This window comes from Homo sapiens, chromosome 17 (assembly GCF_000001405.40).
Source record: "Homo sapiens chromosome 17, GRCh38.p14 Primary Assembly".
Classification (NCBI taxonomy): Eukaryota; Metazoa; Chordata; class Mammalia; order Primates; family Hominidae; genus Homo; species Homo sapiens.
Window position 1 is genome coordinate 74402268 of NC_000017.11, and position 21320 is coordinate 74423587.

The 21320-nt window shown below is 50.1% G+C and overlaps 1 pseudogene, besides 1 other annotated feature; it reads right to left on the minus strand.

The window, feature by feature from the left end:
- Positions 1983-2277: an enhancer, noted in NCBI's record as "tiled region #691; HepG2 Activating non-DNase unmatched - State 21:Repr". NCBI's record gives its function as "activates a minimal TATA promoter and a strong SV40 promoter by Sharpr-MPRA in HepG2 cells {active_cell/tissue: HepG2}" and the evidence as "EXISTENCE:reporter gene assay evidence [ECO:0000049][PMID:27701403]".
- Positions 15327-15437, minus strand: RNA5SP448 (RNA, 5S ribosomal pseudogene 448; annotated as a pseudogene).

A 21320-nucleotide genomic window follows, 5' to 3' on the forward strand; every position in this document is an offset into this window, starting at 1 on the left:
AGGAAGAGAAGTCATGGGCCACTCATTAAGACAGCCAGTCCCAGGGGAAAGAGAAATGGGTGAGGCCTGGGATGTAGGAGCTCCTTCTGGCTCTGTCGCTGGCTTACTGCTATACCTGGGACAAAGAATGACTTCCTTAAGCCCGTTGTGCTCACCTATAAACTGGCAACTATGCGATCTGACCTGCTCATCTCATGGAATTGTTGCAAGACTCAAATGATCAAGCAAGTTTTCTAGGAAACATCTGGAAAGAGGCAGCCCAAACTGTTCAGAATGGCTTCTCTAGGGAAGAGGATATGGGAGCGAATGGAGAGAACTGCGGTTATTCCGCTTTTGTCTTCGATTAATTCTGATCTTGTTTCCAAATGTTTTAACAAATACGGATTCCTTTTGTGATTGAAAAAGTTTGTAGGCCAGGCATGGTGGCTCTCACACTTGTAATCCCAGCACTTTGGGAGGCCGAGGCAGGAGGATTGTTTGAGCCTAGGAGTTTGAGACCAGCCTGGGCAATGTAGCAGGACCCCATCTCTAATTTGAATAATAAAAAATAGGCCAGCACGGTGGCTAATACCTGTAATTCCAACACTTTGGGAGGCTGAGGTGAGAGGATCCCTTGAGCTCAGTAGTCTGAGACCGGCCTGGGCAACAGAGTGGAACCCCATGTCTGTAAGTAATTTTAAAAATTAGCTGGGCAGTCGGGCGTGGTGGCTCAGCGTGTAATCCCAGCACTTTGGGAGGCCGAGGCGGGCAGATCATGAGGTCAGGAGATCGAGACCATCCTGGCTAACACGGTGGAACCCCCGTCTCTACTAAAAATACAAAAAAATTAGCTGGGCGTGGTGGCGGGTGCCTGTAGTCCCAGCTACTCAGGAGGCTGAGGCAGGAGAATGGCATGAACCCGGGAGGCAGAGCTTGCAGTGAGCCGAGATCGCGCCACTGCACTCCAGCCTGGGCGACAGAGCGAGACTCCGTCTCGAAAAAAAAAAAAAAATTAGCTGGGCATGGTGGTGCACACCTATAGTCCCAGCTACTTGGGAAGCTGAAGTGGGAGGATTGCCTGAGTTCAGGAGGTCAAGACTGCAGTGAGCCTTCATTGTACCACTGCCCTCCAGCCTGGGCAACAGAGCAAGATCTTGTCTCCAAAAAAAAAAAAAAAAAAGTTTGTAAATGTTCACATGTATGTTAATGTAATAATGTGTTTTGTGGTCTTCAAAAGTCTCCAGCCCTGCTAAGCTGCCAGTTACCCTTCTTAGCCTGTGTTGTGGGTTGCTTAGCTCAGAGTCGCTTGCTTCGGTTTCACAGCATGATGGGCTGAGCCCATGGATATCTGAAACCTGAGGGTGTTGATGAAATCAGCTAGGATGTGGACCTGGGTTGAGGTCCCCTCCATGGCTTCCTGTTGACTGTGAGTCTGGCTCCTGCCTCCTTCCTCTGAGCCTCCCAGGCATGGAGCATGTGTTTCTCCCTGGCTATCTGGCCAGCCCAGCCTGCAGGCAGGCACTGTGGTGCCAGAGAGAGCGCTGCTGCTGAACAGAATAGAGTCAGCACAAAACACATTAAAAAATCAATCGCTGGGACAGCAGCCCACCAGAGAAAGGGACCTGGGCGCAGAGGCCATCCTCCCAAGGAGCTGGTGCAGCTGGGGGCTCAGGGCATGCCAATGGCTCAGCAGGTGCAGTGGCCAGCCTGGCCAGAAGTACTCCAGGCACAAAGACACAGCCAGAGGCTGGCACAACTTCACCGGGCAGCAAGGAGCAATGGGGTCGTGTGCCTCTATACGTGTTTAGTTGCTGTTTGGAAGCCGCTTGCAGGTGGAATGCGTGTTCTGATCTCCCCATGTGGCTGAGATCCGTCCAGGGCAGGCCTTCGCTTCCCCAGAGCCCCTCCCACATCTGAGAAAATAGCTGGGGGTGCCGCCCGTGGAGAACCCAGGATACCCCAGTAGCAAGAAAAGGCACCCAAGAAAGAGACCACCGCTGTTCCTAATGGGGCAGTCCTGACTGTCACTCTGACCAATGACAGGAGGGCAGAACCCCTAGGACCTCTCTCTGTGGAGTGGGGAGAGAGGGCAGGGACGGCAGGGAGCCCAGCCTCTCTAGCCAGCCCCACCAACCAGGTCGCATTCACAGATGAGCTCATTAGGGGCTCACTCAGGAATTCACCTCCTGCCCCCAGGCTCTGCAGACATTTATGGTGGGGGTAGGATTCCTGTGTGCTGAAAACAAATTCTGTCCTGTCCTCCTACCACTACCTGGACCTGCGGGGGAGGGGGCACAAGTTGTCCTGCGCTAGCGGCTGTCCCGAGCCTCAGGGGGGCTACAGCTGCTCAGTGAGCAGGGTGGCCCCTGAGAAGGAGTGAGGAGGACCCAGTCCTGAGTCAGCACCACTCAGACCCCCACCCTGCTCCCCTCCTGAACAAGTTCAGCACATGGGGTTGGGACACAGACACAAATACCCCATCCAACGAACTCTCTCTGATTGGAAACACAAATCTCTCCCCTCTTCCATCAGGATCCCAGACAGAAACCATCTCATGCAGAGAGCATCCTGAGGCCCCACCTCCTCCCCAGTTCAGGGCTCAGCAAACTTTTTCTGTAAAGAGCCAAATAGCAAACATTTTCAACTACATTCGTGACCATGTGGTCCCTATCACTATTCAACTCTGCCAGTACAGCACGAAAGCAGACAGACAATAAGGCAACAAATGGGCATGGCCACGTTCCAATAAAACTTTATTTATACAAACAGATGGCAGGCTGGATTTGGTTTGTGGACTGTAGTTTGCTGACCCAGCTGTAATTCACCAGGCACGTCCTAGGGCAGGTCTGAGCACCCTTTAGGATCAGCCGTCCTCCCAAGGAGCTGGGACCACAGATGTGTGCTACCATCCCGGCTCATTTGTTTATTCTTTTATTTTTATTTATTTAATTTTTTGAGACAGGGTCTTTCTTTGTTGCCCAGCTAGGGTGCCATGACATGATCCCTGCTCACTGCAGCCTCAACTTCCCAGGCTCAAGCAATTCTCCTGCCTCAGCCTCCTGAGTAGTTGGGACTACAGGCACATGCCACCAAACCTGGCTAATTTTTGTATTTTTTGTAGAGATGGGGTTTTACCATGTTGCCCAGGCTGGTTTAAAACTCCTGAGCTCAAGCAATCTGCCTGTCTCAATCTCTGAAAGGGCCAGGATTACAGGCATGACCAATCATGCTCTGCCTGAGTTTGCTCTTTTTATCCCCATTTTACAGGTGAGGAAACTGAGGCTCAGAGAAGCAACAACCTGCCCAAGGGCACATAAATTTAGCTGTAGTCAAAAGGAAAACACAGGGCCAGGCGCCGTGGCTCACGCCTGTAATCCCAGCACTTTAGGAGGCTGAGGCGGGCAGATCACTTGAGGTCAGGAGTTCGAGAACAGCCTGGCCAACATGCTGAAACCCCATCTCTACCAAAAATACAAAAATTAGCCGGGCGTAGTGGTGCACACCTGTAGTCCCAGCTATTCAGGAGGGTGAGGCAGGAGAATTGCTTGAATCCGGGAGGCGGAGGTGGCAGTGAGCTGAGATCGCACCACTGCACTCCAGCCTGGACGACAGAGTGAGACTGTATCTCAAAAGAGAAAGAAAAAAAAAAAAGGAAAATATGAAAGCCAATATACAAGAAGAAAAGGACAGGAGTGGGTGAGGCGCCTTGGGAGGCTCCACAGACAAAAGGCAGGTAAGAAGCTGTATTGGGATAACTATGGCTTCATGTTTTCCAGAGGAAGAGGGGGCAGTGCCTCTGAGCCACCACGGGCTCAGCTGGGGGCCTGGGGGCCTGTCTCTTGCACACCTGCCGGGCTTTCCTGGGAAGCTGACGGCCCTTGGTGGAAAGGTTCCTTGGGGGTTTGTGGGATGAGCATCCCAGTGGCTGCATAAGGGGTTGGGTAGCGTCGCTCACTATTTAATAGTCTACCTGGAATCTCAGAATGTGACCAATTTGGAATTAGGGTCTTTACAGATAGAATTAAGGTAAGGGCCAGGTGCAGTGCCTCACACCTATAATCCTAGCACTTTGGGAGGCCTAGGTGGGCAGATAGCTCGAGCCCAGGAGTTTGAGACCAGCCTGAGCACCATGGCAAAACCTTGTCTCTACAAAAAATACAAAAATTAGGCAAGTGTGGTGGTACACACCTGAGTCCCAGCTACTCAGGAGGCTGAGGCAGGAGCATCGCTTGACCCCAGAAGGTGGAGGCTGCAGTGAGCTGTGATGACTGTGTCACTGCACTCCAGTCTGGGCAACAGAGTGAGACCCTGCCTCCAAAAAAAAAAAAAAAAAAAAAAAAAAAAAAAAAAAAGGTAAGGACTGAGATAAGATCATACAAGATTAGGATGGGCCCAAAATTCAATGAGAATGTCCCTATAGGAACCAAAAAAGGACATAGTGAGACTTACAGGAGAAGGCCCTGTGACAATGGGGCAGAGATTGGAATGCCAAGGATTGCTGGGAGTCCCCAAAGCTAGAGAAATGGAACAGATTCTTCCTAGGCACCTCCAGAAGGAACCTACCCTGCCCACACCTTGATCTTGGACATCTGGCCTCAGAACTGTGAGAGGATTGAGAGGATAAATGTCTCTGTCTCTGAAGTCACCCAGTTTATAGGAATTTCTTTCATCAGTGACAGGAAATGAATATTTTATGTGTGAACTTTGGTTTTTTGTTTTGTTTTGTTTCTTTTTGAGACAGACATTTGCTCTATCACCCAGGCTGGAGTGCAGCCTCCTGAGGAGCTGGGATTACAGGTGTGGGCCACCACATCTGGCTAATTTTTGTACTTTTAGTGGAGACAGGTTTCGCCATGTTGGCCAGGCTGGTCTCAAACTCCTGACCTCAGGTGATCTTCCCGCCTCGGCCTCCCAAAGTGCTGGGATTACAGGCATGAGCCACCATGCCCAGCATTTATGTATGAACTTTGGAGGGTGGTTCCCAATGTCCCTGGTTCCCAGCCACTCTGAGGTCCCCAGTGATGATTGTAGAGTGAGAGAATGGACAGAGAAAGGGACAAATAAAGAGAGAAACAGCTGGCGGGGCAGGGAATAGCTTGGAAAGCCGGGGAGCAGTGCCAGTTTAAGGGAAGCCACTGCAGGGGGCCAGGAGGGGGGCGAGGCCAGAAAACACACAGAAGAGGTGAGGCTGGCTGTGCATGGCACCGGCTCCTCTAGGCCTGAGAAATGCAAACAGGCAGAGCTGTGGCCAGTTCTTTATCCAAGAGATAGCCAGTTCAATGAAAGGCTTATTTGGACGGCTTTGGCGCCTGTGCCTGCACAGAGGACAGTCAGAAGCCACCCCCATGAAACCACCCAACTGCCTGGTCAGGGCTGTGGTCAGGATATGGGAGGGAGGCCAGGCTGGATGGTGGCCAGGGACAGGACTCTGTATCTTGGCCCTGGTCTTGGTGGCCCAGGGCTCTAATCCCCATTGCACCAGGCAACCCAGCAGCATCTGGAGAGCTGGGGAGGGGCTAAGGTTGCTCAGCGGCTTTTCTTTTCAGGGGTCTCCGCTGCTCCCCACACTCTCCAGCCAAAGCCAGGACCCCTACATTGTCACAGTGACAAACCTTCTAACCTGGGCAGCTCAGGAGGCTTAGGAGTGGGACTGGCCCTCATTCTGGGTGGTAGCGGGCACCACTTCCTCCCCTCCCTGTCACTGCCCCATTGATGGGTAGAGTCCCTTTCTCCACCACCCCATTCAATCTGGGATGTCTTGACCAAGAGAATATGGTGGTGTCAGCATGTGACTCTGTGCCAGATGCGCCGGGAGGCCTGGAGAGGACTAGCAATGTCTACCTGCTTTTGAAGCCAGGAGCTTACATTTGTGAAGCCTGGGGCTGGGTGCAGTGGTGCATGCCTGTAATCCTAGCATTTTGGGAGGCCAAGGCAGGAGGATCATTTGAGTCCAGGAGTTGGAGACCAGTCTGGGCAACAGTGACACCTCATCTCTACAAAAAATAAACAAAATTAGCTGGGTGTGGTGGTACCGATTTGTGGTCCCAGCTACTCAGGAAGCTCAGACAGGAGGATTGTTTAGACCTGGAAGGAGGCTGCAGTGAGCTGAAATTATGCTACTACACTCCAGCCTGGGCAACAAAGCAAGACCCTTTCTCAAGAAAAAAAAAAAAAAGCAGCCCCAGCCAGGCTGTACTGCTGAGAGGCCACGTGGAGGAGCCCTGAGTCACCACCTTGGACACCCAGCCTGGTTGAGCCTTCAGATGACCACAGCCCCAGCTGCTATCTGCTTGCAACTACCCAGAGATCCCTGAGGAAGAACTGGCCAGTTGAGCCCCATCAACCCACGCAACCATGAGAGAGAAAAATAAATTGTTGTGTTAAGCCACTAAGTTTTGGGGTAGTGTGTTCACACAACTGTTCCCTTTCCCATCCTCATTCACTGGCTACTTCGGGGCCACAAGGACCCCCAAGCTCCAGAATCCATAGTCCCTCATTAATGATTTGACCTAGTGGTATCCCTGGTGAGACCAGCCTGGGTGGCAGGGTAGAGTTGCTGGGTGGCACTCTTTCTGGGGTTGATAGAAATATTTACATTAAAATCCATAAATATTTGTAAAACGGCTGGATGTTTGCAGCACTCTGAGGAGTAAAACAGCACACAATACCTTTTATTTGAAGAGCAGTAATGAGTGTTTCAAGCACTCTAATATATTTCATCACATTTCACCCATGACAACCATGAAAGGCAGCCGGGCAGGCATCCTCCCTTTTATGATTGAGCAGGAAACTACATTAAGACCACACAAATAGAAATGGCAGAGCCAGGGCTGGAAGCCAGGTTGTCTGGCTACCGGTCCGCAGGCCTCCTTTCCCTGCATCCCTATTGTCTGCAAACCATCTGGAGAGCAGTTTTCTTTTTTTCTTTTTATTTATTATTTATTTATTTTTCTTTTCTTTTCTTTTCTTTTCTTTTTTTTTTTTTTTTGAGACGGAATCTCGCTCTGTCACCCAGGCTGGAGTGCAGTGGCACAATCTCAGCTCACTGCAATCTCTACCTCCAGGGTTCAAGCAGTTCTCCTGCCTCAGCCTCCTGAATAGCTGGGATTACAGGCAGGTGTGCCACCACACCCGTCTAATTATTTTGTAATTTTAGTAGAGACAGGGATTCACTATGTTGGCCAAGCTGGTCACAAACTCCTGACCTCAGGTAATCCATCCACCTCAGCCTCCCAAAGTGCTGGGATTACAGGAGTGAGCCACCACACCCAGCCTATTTATTTATTTTGAGACAAAGTCTCACTCTGTTGCCTAAGCTGGAGTGCAGTGGCACGATCTCGGCTCACTGCAAGCTCCGCCTCCCAGATTCAAGTGATTCTCCTGCCTCAGCCTCCTGAGTAGCTGGGATTACAGGTGTGCAGAGCTAATTTTTTATATTTTTAGTAGAGATGAGGTTTCACCATGTTAGCCAGGCTGGTCTCGAACTCTTAGCCTCAAGCGATCAGCCCACCTCAGCCACCCAAAGTTCTGGGTTTACAGCCATGAGCCACCACACCTGACCTTATTTTATATTTTAGAGAATGGGGTCTGGCTATATTGCTCAGGCAGGCCTTGAACTCCTGGGCTCAAGTTGTCCTCCTGCCTCTGCCTCCCTAAGAGCTGGGATTACAGGGGTGAGCCACCACGCCCAGCTGGAGAGCAGTTTTCGACTCGGACAAGCCCCCTTTCCCGGGCTGGAGGAAGGACAGGCAGTAGCCATGAGCCCTGGAGTCAACTTCCTGGATCCAGCTGTGGCTCTGCCCTTAGTTAGGATAACCTGGCAGCTAGTTACTGAAGCTGTAAAGGGAGATGCCATTTATCCAGCTGTAAACGGAGATTCACTGCTGGAGAGAGCTCTACTGCTGAGACCTGGTGAACCGGCTCCTCTAGGCCTGAGAAATGCAAACAGGCAGAGGACAGGCTTTGGGGGCTGCCTCAACTGACAGAGCACAGCGGAAGTGACCCTCTGTGATGCTGAAAGCCAGATCAAAGAATGTGTGGTGTCTGCCTTGCTCTCCAGGAAGCAGTCGGACTTCCCTAAGGCTGCCACACACTGAGGAAGCCCTAACTAGCCACAGGGAGAGGCCCTGAGGCCACATAAAGGAAGGAGGACACACAGATGCCTGCCTGTCCCCTGCTACCTCAGCCCCATGCTGTCCCAGCAGCGTGCACTGCCTGACTGCACCTGTCTGAAAGACCCAGAGCTCTAACCTGGTCTCTACAAAAAACAAACAAAATTAGCTGGGCGTGGTGGTGCATGCCTGTAGTCCCACTACTCAGGAGGCTGAGACAGGAGGATCATTTAGGCCTGGGAGAAGGCTGCAGGGAGCTAAGATCATGCCCAGCCAGGCCCTGCCTGGACTCCTAGCCCAAAGAAAGCATGGGAGGTAATAAGATGGTTGTTGAAGCCACTATGTCTGGATGTTATTTGTTCCACAGCAACGTCACATAACGGGGACAGGGTGGCTGGGGTAGAGTGGGTTGAAATGTGTCCCACCTGCTCCCCTAAAAGAAAAAAGAGGGAGAGAGAGAGATGTTCACCTGGAACCTCGGAAAGTGACCTTGGTTGGAATAAGTGTCTTCACAGATGTAATTAAAATGTGGATCTTGAGATCAGATCTTTCTAGTTTAGGGGAGGTCCTAAATTCAGTGACCAATGTTCTTATGAGACAGAAAAGGAGAAGACATAGGGAGCCATAGAGATGTGGGAGGCACGATGAGTCCATGGGAGCACAGAGGCAGAGACTGGAGTGATGAGGCCACAAGCCAAGAAACACCTGGAGCCCCCAGAAGCTGGAGGAGGCAAGGAAGCATCCTCCTCTTGAGTCTTCAGAGGGAAAGTAGCCTGGCTGACACCTTAATTTCAGACTTCTGGTCCCCAGAATGGTGAGAATGAAATTTCTGTTGTTTTAAGCCACTACGTTCATGACAATTTGAGTTTTTTGGGTTTTTTTGTTTTTTGGTTTTTGGTTTTTTTTTTTTTTTTTTTTTTTTTTTGGACAGGATCTCGCTTTGTTGCCCCGGCTGGGGCGCTATGGCATGATCTCGGTTCACTACAACCTCTGCCTCCTAGGTTCAAGCAATTCTCCTGCCTCAGCCTCCCAAGTAGCTGGGATTACAAGTGCCCACCACCACACCCAGCTAATTTTTGTATTTTTAGTAGAGACGGGGTTTCACCATGTTGGCCAGGCTGGTCTCAAACTCTTGACCTCAGGTGATCCACCTGCCTCAGCCTCCAGAAGTTCTGGGATTACAGGCGTGAGCCACCACGCCTCGCTAGTTCATGGTAATTTGCTGTGGCAGCCCGGGGGAATTAGCACAGGGGGCTAGAGGTTCCCACGCTGCTGTCATCACAGTGACTGTATTTTACAACTCCTAAGTCAGATGCGGAACTGCAAAACAGGATGCTCCTCAGGGAAATAAGAGGACAGCAGCTTTGTAATCAGGTGTCCTGGGATAATGGAAGATGCCTACTGGCCACAGCTAGAGTGAGGCCCAGAGGGCCAGAAGGCTTAGGGCAAGAAATACCGGAGAGGCTCGCCATCAGGATGCAGTCTGTCTCTCACAGCTCCTTACAGAAAAGCTCAAATGAAACAAAAATAAGCAAAAGTATGATTGACCCATGGGGGTCCTCAGTCTCTTCATCCTAGAGTTTAGATCATCTCTCTCCAATACCCACAGTGCATCTTTTTGGCAGAGTGAAGGTAGCCAAAAACCCTTCCCCCAAAGATCTTGTGTGGATTTGGGATTAAATCCCCACCTGGATAGAGTTGGGTGTTTTGTTTTGTTTTGTTTTAGAGATGGAGGTCTCCCTTTGCTGACCAGGCTGGCGTGCAGTGGCACGATGATAGCTCACTGAAACCTTGAATTCCTGAGCTCAAGCTATCCTCCTGCCTAAGCCTCCTGAGTAGCTGGGACTGCAGGTGTGCACCACCGCACCTGGCTAATTTTTAAATTTTTTTGTAGAGACAGGATCTTGCCATCTTGCCCGGGCCATTCGCAAACTCATGGGCTCAAGCGATCCTCCCACCTCTCCCAAAGTGTTGGGATTACAGGGGTGAGTGAGCCACCGCACCCGGCACTGTGGAGTTGGTTTAACCAAAATACAATTCTCACCATAAATACATTTTTGACTTAAAGATATTTCCACCTGTATGGTGGCATTGCACCCGGCCTCGACTTAGAATTTTTCAACTTTACAATGATGTGAAAGCAATGTGCATTCAGTAGAAATCGTACTTCAAGAACCCATACCACCGTTCTGTTTTTCACTCTCAGTACAGTACTCAGTAAATTACATGAGCTATTCAACACTTAATTATAAAATAGGCTTTGTGTTAGATGAGCCCAACTATAGGCTGAAGTTAAGTGTTTGGAGCATGTTTAAAGGACGCTAGGCTAAGCTATGATGATTGGTAGGTTAGGTTTAACAAATGCATTTTTTTTTGAGAGACAGGGTCACTCAGGCTGGAGTGCGGTGGCACAATCATAGCCCACTGTAACCTTGAACTCCTGGGCTCAAGCGATCCCCCGCCTCAGCCTTCAGGGTAGCTGGGACTACGAGTGCGCTCCACCACACCCAGCTAATTTATTTTTAAGTTTGTATAGAGTTGGGGTGTCATTTTTTTTTTTGAGCTGGAGTCTCACTCTCTCACCCAGGCTGCGGCACAATTGTGCGATCTCAGCTCACTGCAACCTCTGCCTCCTGGGTTCAAGCAGTTCTCCTGCCTCAGCCTCCCGAGTACTTGGGATTACAGGAGCACACCACCACATCTGGCTAACATTTTTCTATTTTTGGTAGAGAGAGGATTTCATCATGTTGACCAGGCTGGTCTCGAACTCCTGGCCTCAAGTGATCTGCCCGCCTCGGCCTCCCAAAGTGCTGGGATTACAGGCATGAGCCACCGTGCCCGGCTAGGTGTCTCTATCTTGCTCAGGCTGGTCTCAAAATCCTGACCTCAGGTGATCCTCCTGCCTTGGCCTCCCAAAGTGCTGGGCTATAGGCGTGAGCCACCATAAATACATTTTTGACTTAAAGATATTTTCAACTTATGATGGCTTTATTGGGCTGTAACCGCTATGTGAGTAGAGGAGCATCTGTTCTTCCCCTGAAACTACAATCCTGTATGTATCTTAATGACTGGTTGACATTTCTGTCTCCGTGATTAGATGAGTGTCTAGGGGGCAGAGGTGGTGACTCAGTTTCCCTTGTAACTTTTGCCTGGCTTGCTGGAAGTATTCATTAAGTATCTGTAGAAATGGGCCTGACACATCGGGAAGCTACAGTATGAAGGGCCAAAGGGACTTACCTGAGCTCACCTCGCTCACTGGAGGCAGAGCTGGGACTAGCAACCAATTCCCAATGCAGTCTTTTCCTGGCATGCACGTCCAAGTGCCTGGTTTGGCGGAGGAGTCAGTGAGCACCCGGAATGAGGGGCTGGGTGGTGTTTCTTGGAGGGGTGCCAGGACTCTGCCTAGAAACAGAGCTTTCAGAGAAATGGTGGCTTCTGAAACATAGAGGAAGACACGGGGCATAGAGATGTTTGGGATAGTCAGGTGGGAAAGTTCTGGAGCCAAATCGGCCTTAGGAGGATAAAACATCCAAGGAAGAAATCAATGGAGACAAATTCTGTCGGCAGAATCCAGAATCCACTGAAAGCCATGAGGACCCTCCAGTGAGAGAGGGCATCCACAGCTTGGAAAAATGGCCTAGGTATCAAGGGCTTTCGAAGTGACTTAAGGAGCTGGGTGTGGTGGCTGGTATGTGCCTATGGTCCCAGCTACTCAGGAGGCTGAAGCGGGAGGATCACCTGAGCCCAGGAGTTCAAGTCTGCAGTGAGCTATGATCATGCCATTGCACTCCAGCCTGTGTGACAAAGTGACACCCTGTCTCAAAAAAATAAAAATAAAGGCCGGGCCTGTAAACCCAACACTTTGGGAGGCCAAGGCGGGTGGGTCATTTGAAGTCAGGAGTTTGAGACCAGCCCAGCCAACATGGTGAAACCTCGTTTCTACTAAAAATACAAAAATTAGCCAGGTGTGGTGGCAGGCGACTGTAATCCCATCTACTCAGGAGGCTGAGGCACGAGAATCGCTTGAACTCAGGAGGCAGAGGTTGCGGTGGGCCAAGGTCGCACCGCTGCACTCCAGCCTTGGTGACAGAGTGAGACTCTATCTCAAAAAAATAAAATAAAATAAAATAAAATAAAATAAAAACAAATAAATAAATACACAAAGTGACTTAAAAGAATTGCCCGCCTATGCTGCTATCTGCTGATGATGTCATTGACAAGGCAGGTCAGTCTAATCATCACTCTTTCCTCAGCTTCCATGATCATGATTTCTCCCAGCACCTCAGTAATGAAGGTGACACTGACTCATATGTACACAGGGCTTTTCACATCATGAAGCCTGGGTTGTCGTTTAAATTGTGCCCCTCACCGCCCCTGCCCAAAGATATCTGAAGTTCTAACCTCCTGAAACTGTGAATGGGGAAGTTCTAATCCCCTGAAACTGTGAATGTTACCTTGTTTGGAAATAGGGTCTTTGCAGATAAAATCAAGTGACAATGAGGTCATAGTTGATTAGGGTGGACCTAATCCTATAGGACTGGAAGTGAGGAGACACAGAACATAGGGAGGCCATGTAACAACAGAAGCAAGCAAGCACGGAGGCTCACGCCTGTAATCCCAGCACTTCGGGAGGCTGAGGCAAGAGGATCGCTTTAGCCCAGGAGTTCGAGAGCAGCCTGGACAACATGGCAAAATCTCATCTCTATGAAAAATACATAAAGCAGCTGGGTGTGGTGGTATGTGCCTATGGTACTAGCCACTCGGAAGGCTGAGGCAGGAGGATCACTTGAGGCAGGAGCCTGAGGCTGCAGTGAGCTATGATTACACCACTGCACTCCAGCCTGAGCAACAGGGCAAGACTCTGTTTCCAAAAAAACAACAACAGCAGGCCGGGCACGGTGGCTCACGCCTATAATCCCAGCACTTTGGGAGGCTGAGGCGGGCAGATCATGAGGTCAGGAGATGAAGACCATCCTGGCTAACACGGTGAAACCCCGTCTCTACTAAAAATACAAAAAATTAGCTGGGCATGGTGGCGAGCGCCTGTAGTCCCAGCTCCTCGGGAGGCTGAGGCAGGAGAATGGCGTGAACCCGGGAGGCGGAGCTTGCAGTGAGCTGAGATGGCGCCACTGCACTCCAGCCTGGGCGACAGAGTGAGACTCCATCTCAAAAAAACAAAACAAAACAAAACAAAAAAAACAACAGCAACAACAACAAAAAAGAGACTGGGGTGATGCTACTGCAAGCCAAGAAGTGCCAACAATTGCCTGCGGCCACCACAAGCTGGAAGGGACAAGGAAGGATTCTTCCCGAGAGACTTCAGAGGGAACATGGCTTTGCTGACACTTTGATTACTGGGGTGAGCCACCATGCCCGGCCAATAGTTGACTTCTGTGTTTCCTTTTTATTTATTTTTTTGAGGCGGAGTCTTGCTCTGTCGCCCAGGCTGGAGTGCGGTGGTACAAACATGGCTCACTGCAGCCTTGACCTCCTAGGTTCAGGTGACTCTCCCAAGTAGCTGGAACCACAGGCACATCATGCCTGGCTAATTTTCCTATTTTTAGCAGAGGCAGGGTCTCACCATGTTGCCCAGGCTAGTCTTGAGCTCCTGAGCTGCTGACAGGTGTGAGCCACCGCACCTAGCAAGTTGACATCTTGACTACAACTTCATGACACCTTCATCCAGAACCCTCACTTAAGCCACTCCCTCATTCTTGATCCACAGAAATTGCATGTTATCCTACATGTTTATTGCTTTACACCACTACACTTTGTGGTAGATAGCTAATACCTTTATCCTATCCCATCAGAGACAGCATGCATAGTGGTTAAAAGTCAACTATTGGCCAGGCGCGGTGGCTCACGCCTGTAATCAGAGGCCAAGGCAGGTGGATCACCTGAGGTCAGGAGTTGACCTGAGACCAGCCTGGCTAACATGGTGAAACCCCATCTCTACTAAAAATACAAAAAATTAGCCAGGTGTGGTGGCACGCGCCTGTAGTCCCAGCTCCTCGGGAGGCTGAGGCAGGAGAACTGCTTGAACCCGGGAGGAGGAGGTTGCAGTGAGCTGAGATCGCCCCATTGCACTACAGCTTGGGCAACAAGAGCAAAACTCTGTCTCAAAAAAAAAACAAAGTCAACTATTGGCTGGATACAGTGGCTCATGTCTGTAATCTCAGCACTTTGGGAGACTGAGAGGCAGGAGGATCGCTGAAGGCCAGGAGTTCAAGACCAGCCTGGGCAACATGGCAAGAACCTATCTCTATAAAAAAAATTAAAAATAAAAAATTTAGCCAGGCATGGCGTGCCTGTGGTTCCAGCTACTCAGGAGGATCTCCTGAGCCCAGGAGGTCGAGGCTGCAGTGAGCCATGTTTGCACCACTGAGCTCCAGCCTGGGTGACAGAGCAAAACCCTGTCTCAAATATTGGCTGGGCATGGCAGACACCAGTAATCCCAGCACTTTGGGTTGCTGAGGCAGGAGGATCACTGGAAGCCAGGAGTTCAAGAGCAGGCTGGGCAATACAGTGAAATCCCATTTCTACAAAAGAAAAATCAACATCACTTACTAGCTATTGACCTTGAGTAAGTTGCTTCAGCCTTCTCTGAGTCTCCTCTTGTGAAAGGATAACTGTATCTGTCTTATAAAAGTGCCGGAAGGCTGGGTATGGCAGCTTATCCCTGTAATTCCGGCACTTTGGGAGGCCGAGGTGGGTGGATCGCTTGAGGCAGGGAGTTGGAGATCAGCTTGGCCAACATGGCGAAACCCTGTCTCTAATAAAAATACAAAAATTAGCCAGGCCTGGTGGCTCACACCTGTAGTCCAGCTACTTGGGAGGCTAAGGCAAGAGAATCACTTGAACCCAGGAGACAGAGGTTGAGTGAGCCGCTGCACTCCAGCCTGGGCAACACAGTGAGACTCTATCTCAAAAAAACAACAACAAAAAGACTGCTGGGAGGACCAAAGGAGTTAATATTTAACTTCTAATGGTCCCTGTGGCATAGTAAATGTGAGTCATTATAATTTGCATGGGTGACTAAGAAGCTCAAAAGAGGCGAAAAGACAACTCCAGGGCAACACAGCCCGTGACTCATTGGTCAGGCTGAGTCCTGAACCTGGGTCTCCTGGCTCCCTGCACAGTGCTCATGGTTCAACTGAAACCTGGAACTAGAATGGCCAGTGAAATCCGATGCTCTGTGTGACTGTAACTTCTGTTATTCCCTCCTGTGTGGCAGGCTGTTTCAGCAGCCGTGCACTGTCTCCCATCCAAGTACTAATCAGGCCCAACCCTGCTTAGCTTCCTAGATGAGACGAGATCGGGTGCGTTCAGGGTGGTATGGCTGTAGACGCAGCCATGCACTGTCAACAGCTGGCTATGCACCTGTGCTGGGGTGGGGAGGGCAGCCAGTTGGGTCAGACTGTGGCTCTGTGCCTGACCCTGAGAAGAGAGAGCCCTTGGTCCCTGCAGGAGGGGTGTTAGGAAGGTGCGCTAGGGCAGGCAGACAGCAGACTGCATAGCGTCTGAGAGGGGCTTTTCTGGATCACATTTCATTGCCAGAGCAGCTCCAAGGACAGGGAAGGCACCGAGCTGCTGCTTGTAGCCCTGGTTAGGAAATGGCCAGGAGAGCAGGACAACTGTTTTGAAAGGCAATATGACATTAGGGCAAAAGGGCTGCTGGGAATAAATCCCTGCTGCACAGGCTGCTTTAGTTTAAGCCGACCAAAATGACCTAGGACAGGCCAGGCGTGGGTGCTCATGCCTGTAATCCCAGCACTTTGGGAGGCCGATGTGGGTGGATCACCTGAGGTCAGGAGTTCGAGACCAGCCTGGCTAGCATGGCGAAACCCCATCTCTACTAAAAATATCAAAATTAGCTGCCCGTGGTGGCGGGCACCTGGAATTCTAGCTACTTGGGAGGCTGAGGCAGGAGAATCACTTGAACCTGGGAGGCGGAGGTTGTAGTGAACTGAGATCCCACCACTGCACTCCAGCCTGGGCGACAGAGCGAGACTTCATCTCAAAAACCAAAAACCCCAAAATGACTTATGACAAGCGGAGGCCCGGGAGCCACAGTTCCCCTGGAAGGTCTACTCCCTTCTTTCTTCTAAGTCTGTGGCTTCTGCCCCACATCTGAGAACAAAAAGCAGTGAATGGCCAGAGTGATGCAAAGAAAAAAGAGCAGAAACAAGACAAGCTAGTGGCCTGTGCAATTCACCTTTGAATGGGCAATATTCTCTATGAAAATTGGATGCAAAGAACCTCCAGGTGTGCTTGTAGCTTTCTAAAGACTCCTCATGGCTAGGTTTTCCTTAACGGAAAACATCAAGGAAGGTTACTGAGTGTGGTTTCTCTGAAATTGCCATCAGGACCTAAAATACCCCATAACGAGGAGCTCCGATCCTTTCGGCTGATTTACTTTTTCTCCGGAGCCTTACCATTTTCTAGAAAGAGGAAGTTAGGAGTGATGGGGCAAGACCAGACAACAGCAGATAATCATTCCATGATAATTGCCTTTGATGTCCCGGAAGAGACAACGTGCAAAGAGTCAGCTCCCAAAATATCTTGATAAGATCTTGCCTTTGGGGTTGGCTCATTTTCTCTGTGCTCTCTGCCCCTCCCTCCCTAGGGCTTCGCTTTGTGTGCAGCTAACCAAGGCTTCTCACAGCAAGCCTCCCCACCAAGGATTCCATACTCAGGCCGGGCGCGGTGGCTCACGCCTGTAATCCCAGCACTTTGGGAGGCCGAGGCGGGCGGATCACGAGGTCAGGAGATCGAGACCATCCCGGCTAAAACGGTGAAACCCCGTCTCTACTAAAAATACAAAAAATTAGCCGGGCGTAGTGGCGGGCGCCTGTAGTCCCAGCTACTGGGGAGGCTGAGGCAGGAGAATGGCGTGAACCCGGGAGGCGGAGCTTGCAGTGAGCCGAGATCCCGCCACTGCACTCCAGCCTGGGCAACAGAGCGAGACTCCGTCTCAAAAAAAAAAAAAAAAAAAAAAAAGGATTCCATGCTCTCTGACTCTCACTGCTTCTCTCCCCATCAAACCTCCTTTCCCAGGAGTTGGTTTAATCGTATTGCCATCCTACCACACACAATCCGATCACAGCTACGGCTCCTCAGCCCCCAGACTCCACTTTAACCCTCCTGGGAAGCATTTGCTTGTTTTGAACATGGATTTGGGCCAGGTGCGGTGGCTCATGCCTGTAATCCCAGCACTTTTGGGAGGCCGAGGTGGGTGGATCACCTGAGGTCGGGAGTTCGAGATCAGCCTGACCAACATGGAGAAACCCCATGTCTACTAAAAATACAAAATTAGCCGGGCGTGGTGGCGCACGCCCGTAGTCCCAGCTACTCGGGAGGCTGAGGCAGGAGAATCGCTTGAACCCAGGGGGCGGAGGTTGCGGTGAGCCGAGATCACGCTATTGCACTCCAGCCTGGGCAACAAGAGCAAAACTCCAACTCAAAAAAAAAAAAAAGAAAGAAAGAAAGAAAGAAAAGAAAAGAAAATGGATTTGTATTTCATTGGCTCTCAAACTTTATTAGACGTAACAGTCACCTGGAGCACTTTGATAAAATAAAAATTCTGATAGACAGGTTTGGGTGAGTGTCAAGAACAGTGCAAGGTTAGAGATAACCAAGCGCACGCGTGCTTGTGTCTTTCCACAATGTCAGGCTTTTACTGACGCATTTCAATCACAAAAGCCATGAGCTACATGGAGTTCCCAAGGAGGCAATTCTCCTTAGTACTTCCCGTTCGCCTGTACTTAGAGCCGCACATATGGGTCCATCAATACTGCAAACCATACATAATAATACACTTAAGCAATATATACACGTTATACATTAACCATTCCACAACAAACAAAGTAGCATTTAACATCGAGAGGAGAGAGATAGGAGAAAGAGTTAACAAACCAGTCCAGCAGGAGCAAAGAAGACAAAAGGAGTCCTGGTCTGGGCCCTGCTCTTCAGTCCTGCAAGGAAGAGTCTTTGATGTGGTAGAGGCTTCGAAGGCAGAGACTGGGTTGTTATCAGGAGGCAGTGCAAGGCTGTGCTAGGACCACTAGAAGAAGGCCTGCTCTTTTTTTTTCCCTGAAACTGAGGTTTCACTCTTGTTGCCCAGGCTGGAGTGCAATGGCACAATCTCGGCTCACTGCAACCTCCGCCTCCTGAGTTCAAGCGATTCTCCTGCCTTAGCCTCCTGAGGAGCCGGGATTACAGGCATGCGCCACCACACCCAGCTAGTTTTTGTATTCTTAGTAGAGATGGAGTTTCTCCATGTTGGTCAGACTGGTCTCGAACTCCTGACCTCAGGTGACCCACCCGCCTCAGCCTCCCAAACTGCTGGGATTACAAGCGTGAGCCACCGCGCCTGGCCGAAGGCCTGCTCTTTTAATGGTTACAGAATCCTTTGGTGAGAACTGATCGTGAGAGTGTGCTTCTTTGTCCATCCTTATCTGGTTGGATGCAGTCTTTGTTTGTTGATTTATTAAGCAAAACTTTTCTGGGGGTCAAGGGACAGGGTCTCACTCTGTTGCCCAGGCTGGAGAGCAGTGGTGCGATCTTGGTTCATTGTAACCTCTGCCTACTGGGCTAAAGCGATCCTCCTGCATCAGCCTCCTGAGTAGCTGGGACTACAGGTGCACGCCACCACACCCAGCTAATTTTTGTATTTTGGTAGAGACGGGGTTTTGCCATGTTGCCCAGGCTGGTCTCAAACTCCTGGGCTCAAGCAATCCATCCTCCAAGGCCTCTCAAATTGCTGGAAGTACAGGCATGAGACACGGCACCTGGCCAAGCAAAACATCTTATTCTCGTTGGGAAAGTACTCTATGAAATATAAAATGAAATGTTTTTCTAAGGTGGAGTTACTTATATTAAGGGTGTTTTATACAGTGGGTAATAGTCTTTTTAAAATTCATTCATTTTTCGTTTTTTTGAGACAAGGTCTCACTTTGTGACCCAGGCTGGAGTGCAGTGGCAGGATTTCGGCTCATTGCAACCTTGACCTCCCGGGCTCAGGCGATCCTCCTCTCTCGGTCTCCCAAGTGGCTGGAAACACAGGCATGCACCATTATATCCAGCTTATTTTTGTATTTTTTTAAGAAACGGGGTCTTGCTATGTCACTGAGTCTGTTCTCAAACTCCTCGGCTCAAGCAATCCTCCTGCCTTGGCCTCCCAAAGTGCTGGGATTATAGGCATGAGCCACCACACTGGGCCAGGTTATGGTCTTAATAAAGCTTACAGGAGATTGCGAAGAAGGTGAATCTAGAACTCCCAGGAACCATGTTTTCATAGGGATGACTTCAGACAGGCATGGGAAGTATTTTGGGAAGGGGGAAAGAGGGCACAAGAAAGGAGGCGATGCCTAATCCTTTAATTATCTTTTCAATAGTGGTAAGGCAAAAAACAGGGAAGAATAGAGAAAAAGAAATGTAAGGCTCTCGTTTTCTTTTCTTTTCTTTCTTTCTTTCTTTTTTTTTTTTTTTTTTGAGATGGAGTCCCACTCACTCACCCAGGCTGGAGTGTAGTGGCATGATCTTGGCTCACTGCCACCTCTGCCTGCTGGATTCAAGCGATTCTCCTGCCTCAGCCTCCTGAGTAGCTGGGATTACAGTTGCCTGCCACTACGCCCAGCTAATTTTTGTATTTTTAGTAGAGATGGGGTTTCACCATGTTCACCAGGCTGGTCTTGAACTCCTGGCCTCAAGCAATCCACCTGCCTCAGCCTCCCAAAGTTCTGGTATTACAAACGTGAGCCACCACGCCTGGCCAAGGCTCGAATTTTCTTTTTTTTGAGATGGAGTTTCGCTCCGTTGCCCAGGCTGCAGTGCAATGGTGCGACCTCAGCGTACCACAACCTCCACCTCCCAGGTTCAAGCAATTCTCCTGCCTCAGCCTCCTGAGTAGCTGGGATTACAGGCATGTGCCACCATACCCGCCTAATTTGTATTTTTAGCAGAGATGGGGTTTCTCCATGTTGGTCAGGCTGGTCTCTAACTCCTGACCTCAGGTGATTCACCCTCCTTGGCCTCCCAAAGTGCTGGGATTACAGGCGTGAGCCACCACACCCGGCCAAGGCTCTAATTTTCTAGAAGGTTTCATTGTGGACCCCTCTGTGCCACCTCACCTTGGCCCTACCCTACGCTGATCCCTGTTTCTCCAAGAAGCAGCCAACCTGAATCCTTCATGGGGCATCCACACTGTTTGTATTGTGGCTGTTTCTCCTTTCATTCCTCATAGTTAACATCCACAATTCTTAAACTTGCCTCCCTGGTTCCCAAGGCCAGTGTGCATCACTGCATTAGTCCGTTTTCATGCTGCTGATAAAGACATATCCGAGACTGGGCAATTTACAAAAGAAAGAAGTTTAATGGACTTAGAGTTCCACACGGCTGGGGAGACCTCACAATCATGGTGGAAGGCAAGGAGGAGCAAGTCACACCTTACATGGATGGGAGCAGGCAAAGAGAGAGAGCTTGTGCAGGGAAACTCTGACTTATAAAGCCATCAGATCTCATGAGACTTACTCACTATCATGAGAACAGCACAGGAAAAACCTGCCCCTATGATTCAATTACCTCCCTCCAGTTCCCTCCAGCAACACCTGGGAATTCAAGATGAGATTTGGGTAGGGACACAGCCAAACCATATCAATCACTAACCACATTTGGGTGATGTGGATGTGAAACAGGCTTGGAGGCTCGTCGGCTAGAGATTCCGATTCAACAGTTCAGAAAGGGGCCCAGGAATCCGCTTTCTAAACAAACAATGTAACTGGTTCTGAAGCTGTGCACTGATGCTGGAGGAAGTCGAGGGGCCGGCTTCATCACCGTTTTTGCCAGCTGCTTTCCCCACGACAGAATTGCGGAACAGAGGATGATGAGCCTGGAGCTAGCAGCACCCAATCACTAAGGTCCGCTACCAGAGGCTCTGGGATCTGTGGTTTCATTTAAGCTCCACAGCAAGCCCCAGAGGCAGGGGTCATTGCCCCGCCTTTGTTGTTGTTGTTGTTGTTGTTGTTGTTGTTTTGAGACAGAGTCTTGCTCTGTTGCCCAGACTGGAGTGCAATGGCACAATCTCTGCTCACTGCAACCTCCGACTCCCAGGTTCAAGCCATTCTTCTACCTCAGCCTCCGGAGTAGCTAGGATTACAGGCACCCACCACCAGGCCCAGCTAATTTTTTGTATTTTTAGTAGTGACAGGGTTTCACCATGTTGGTCAGGCT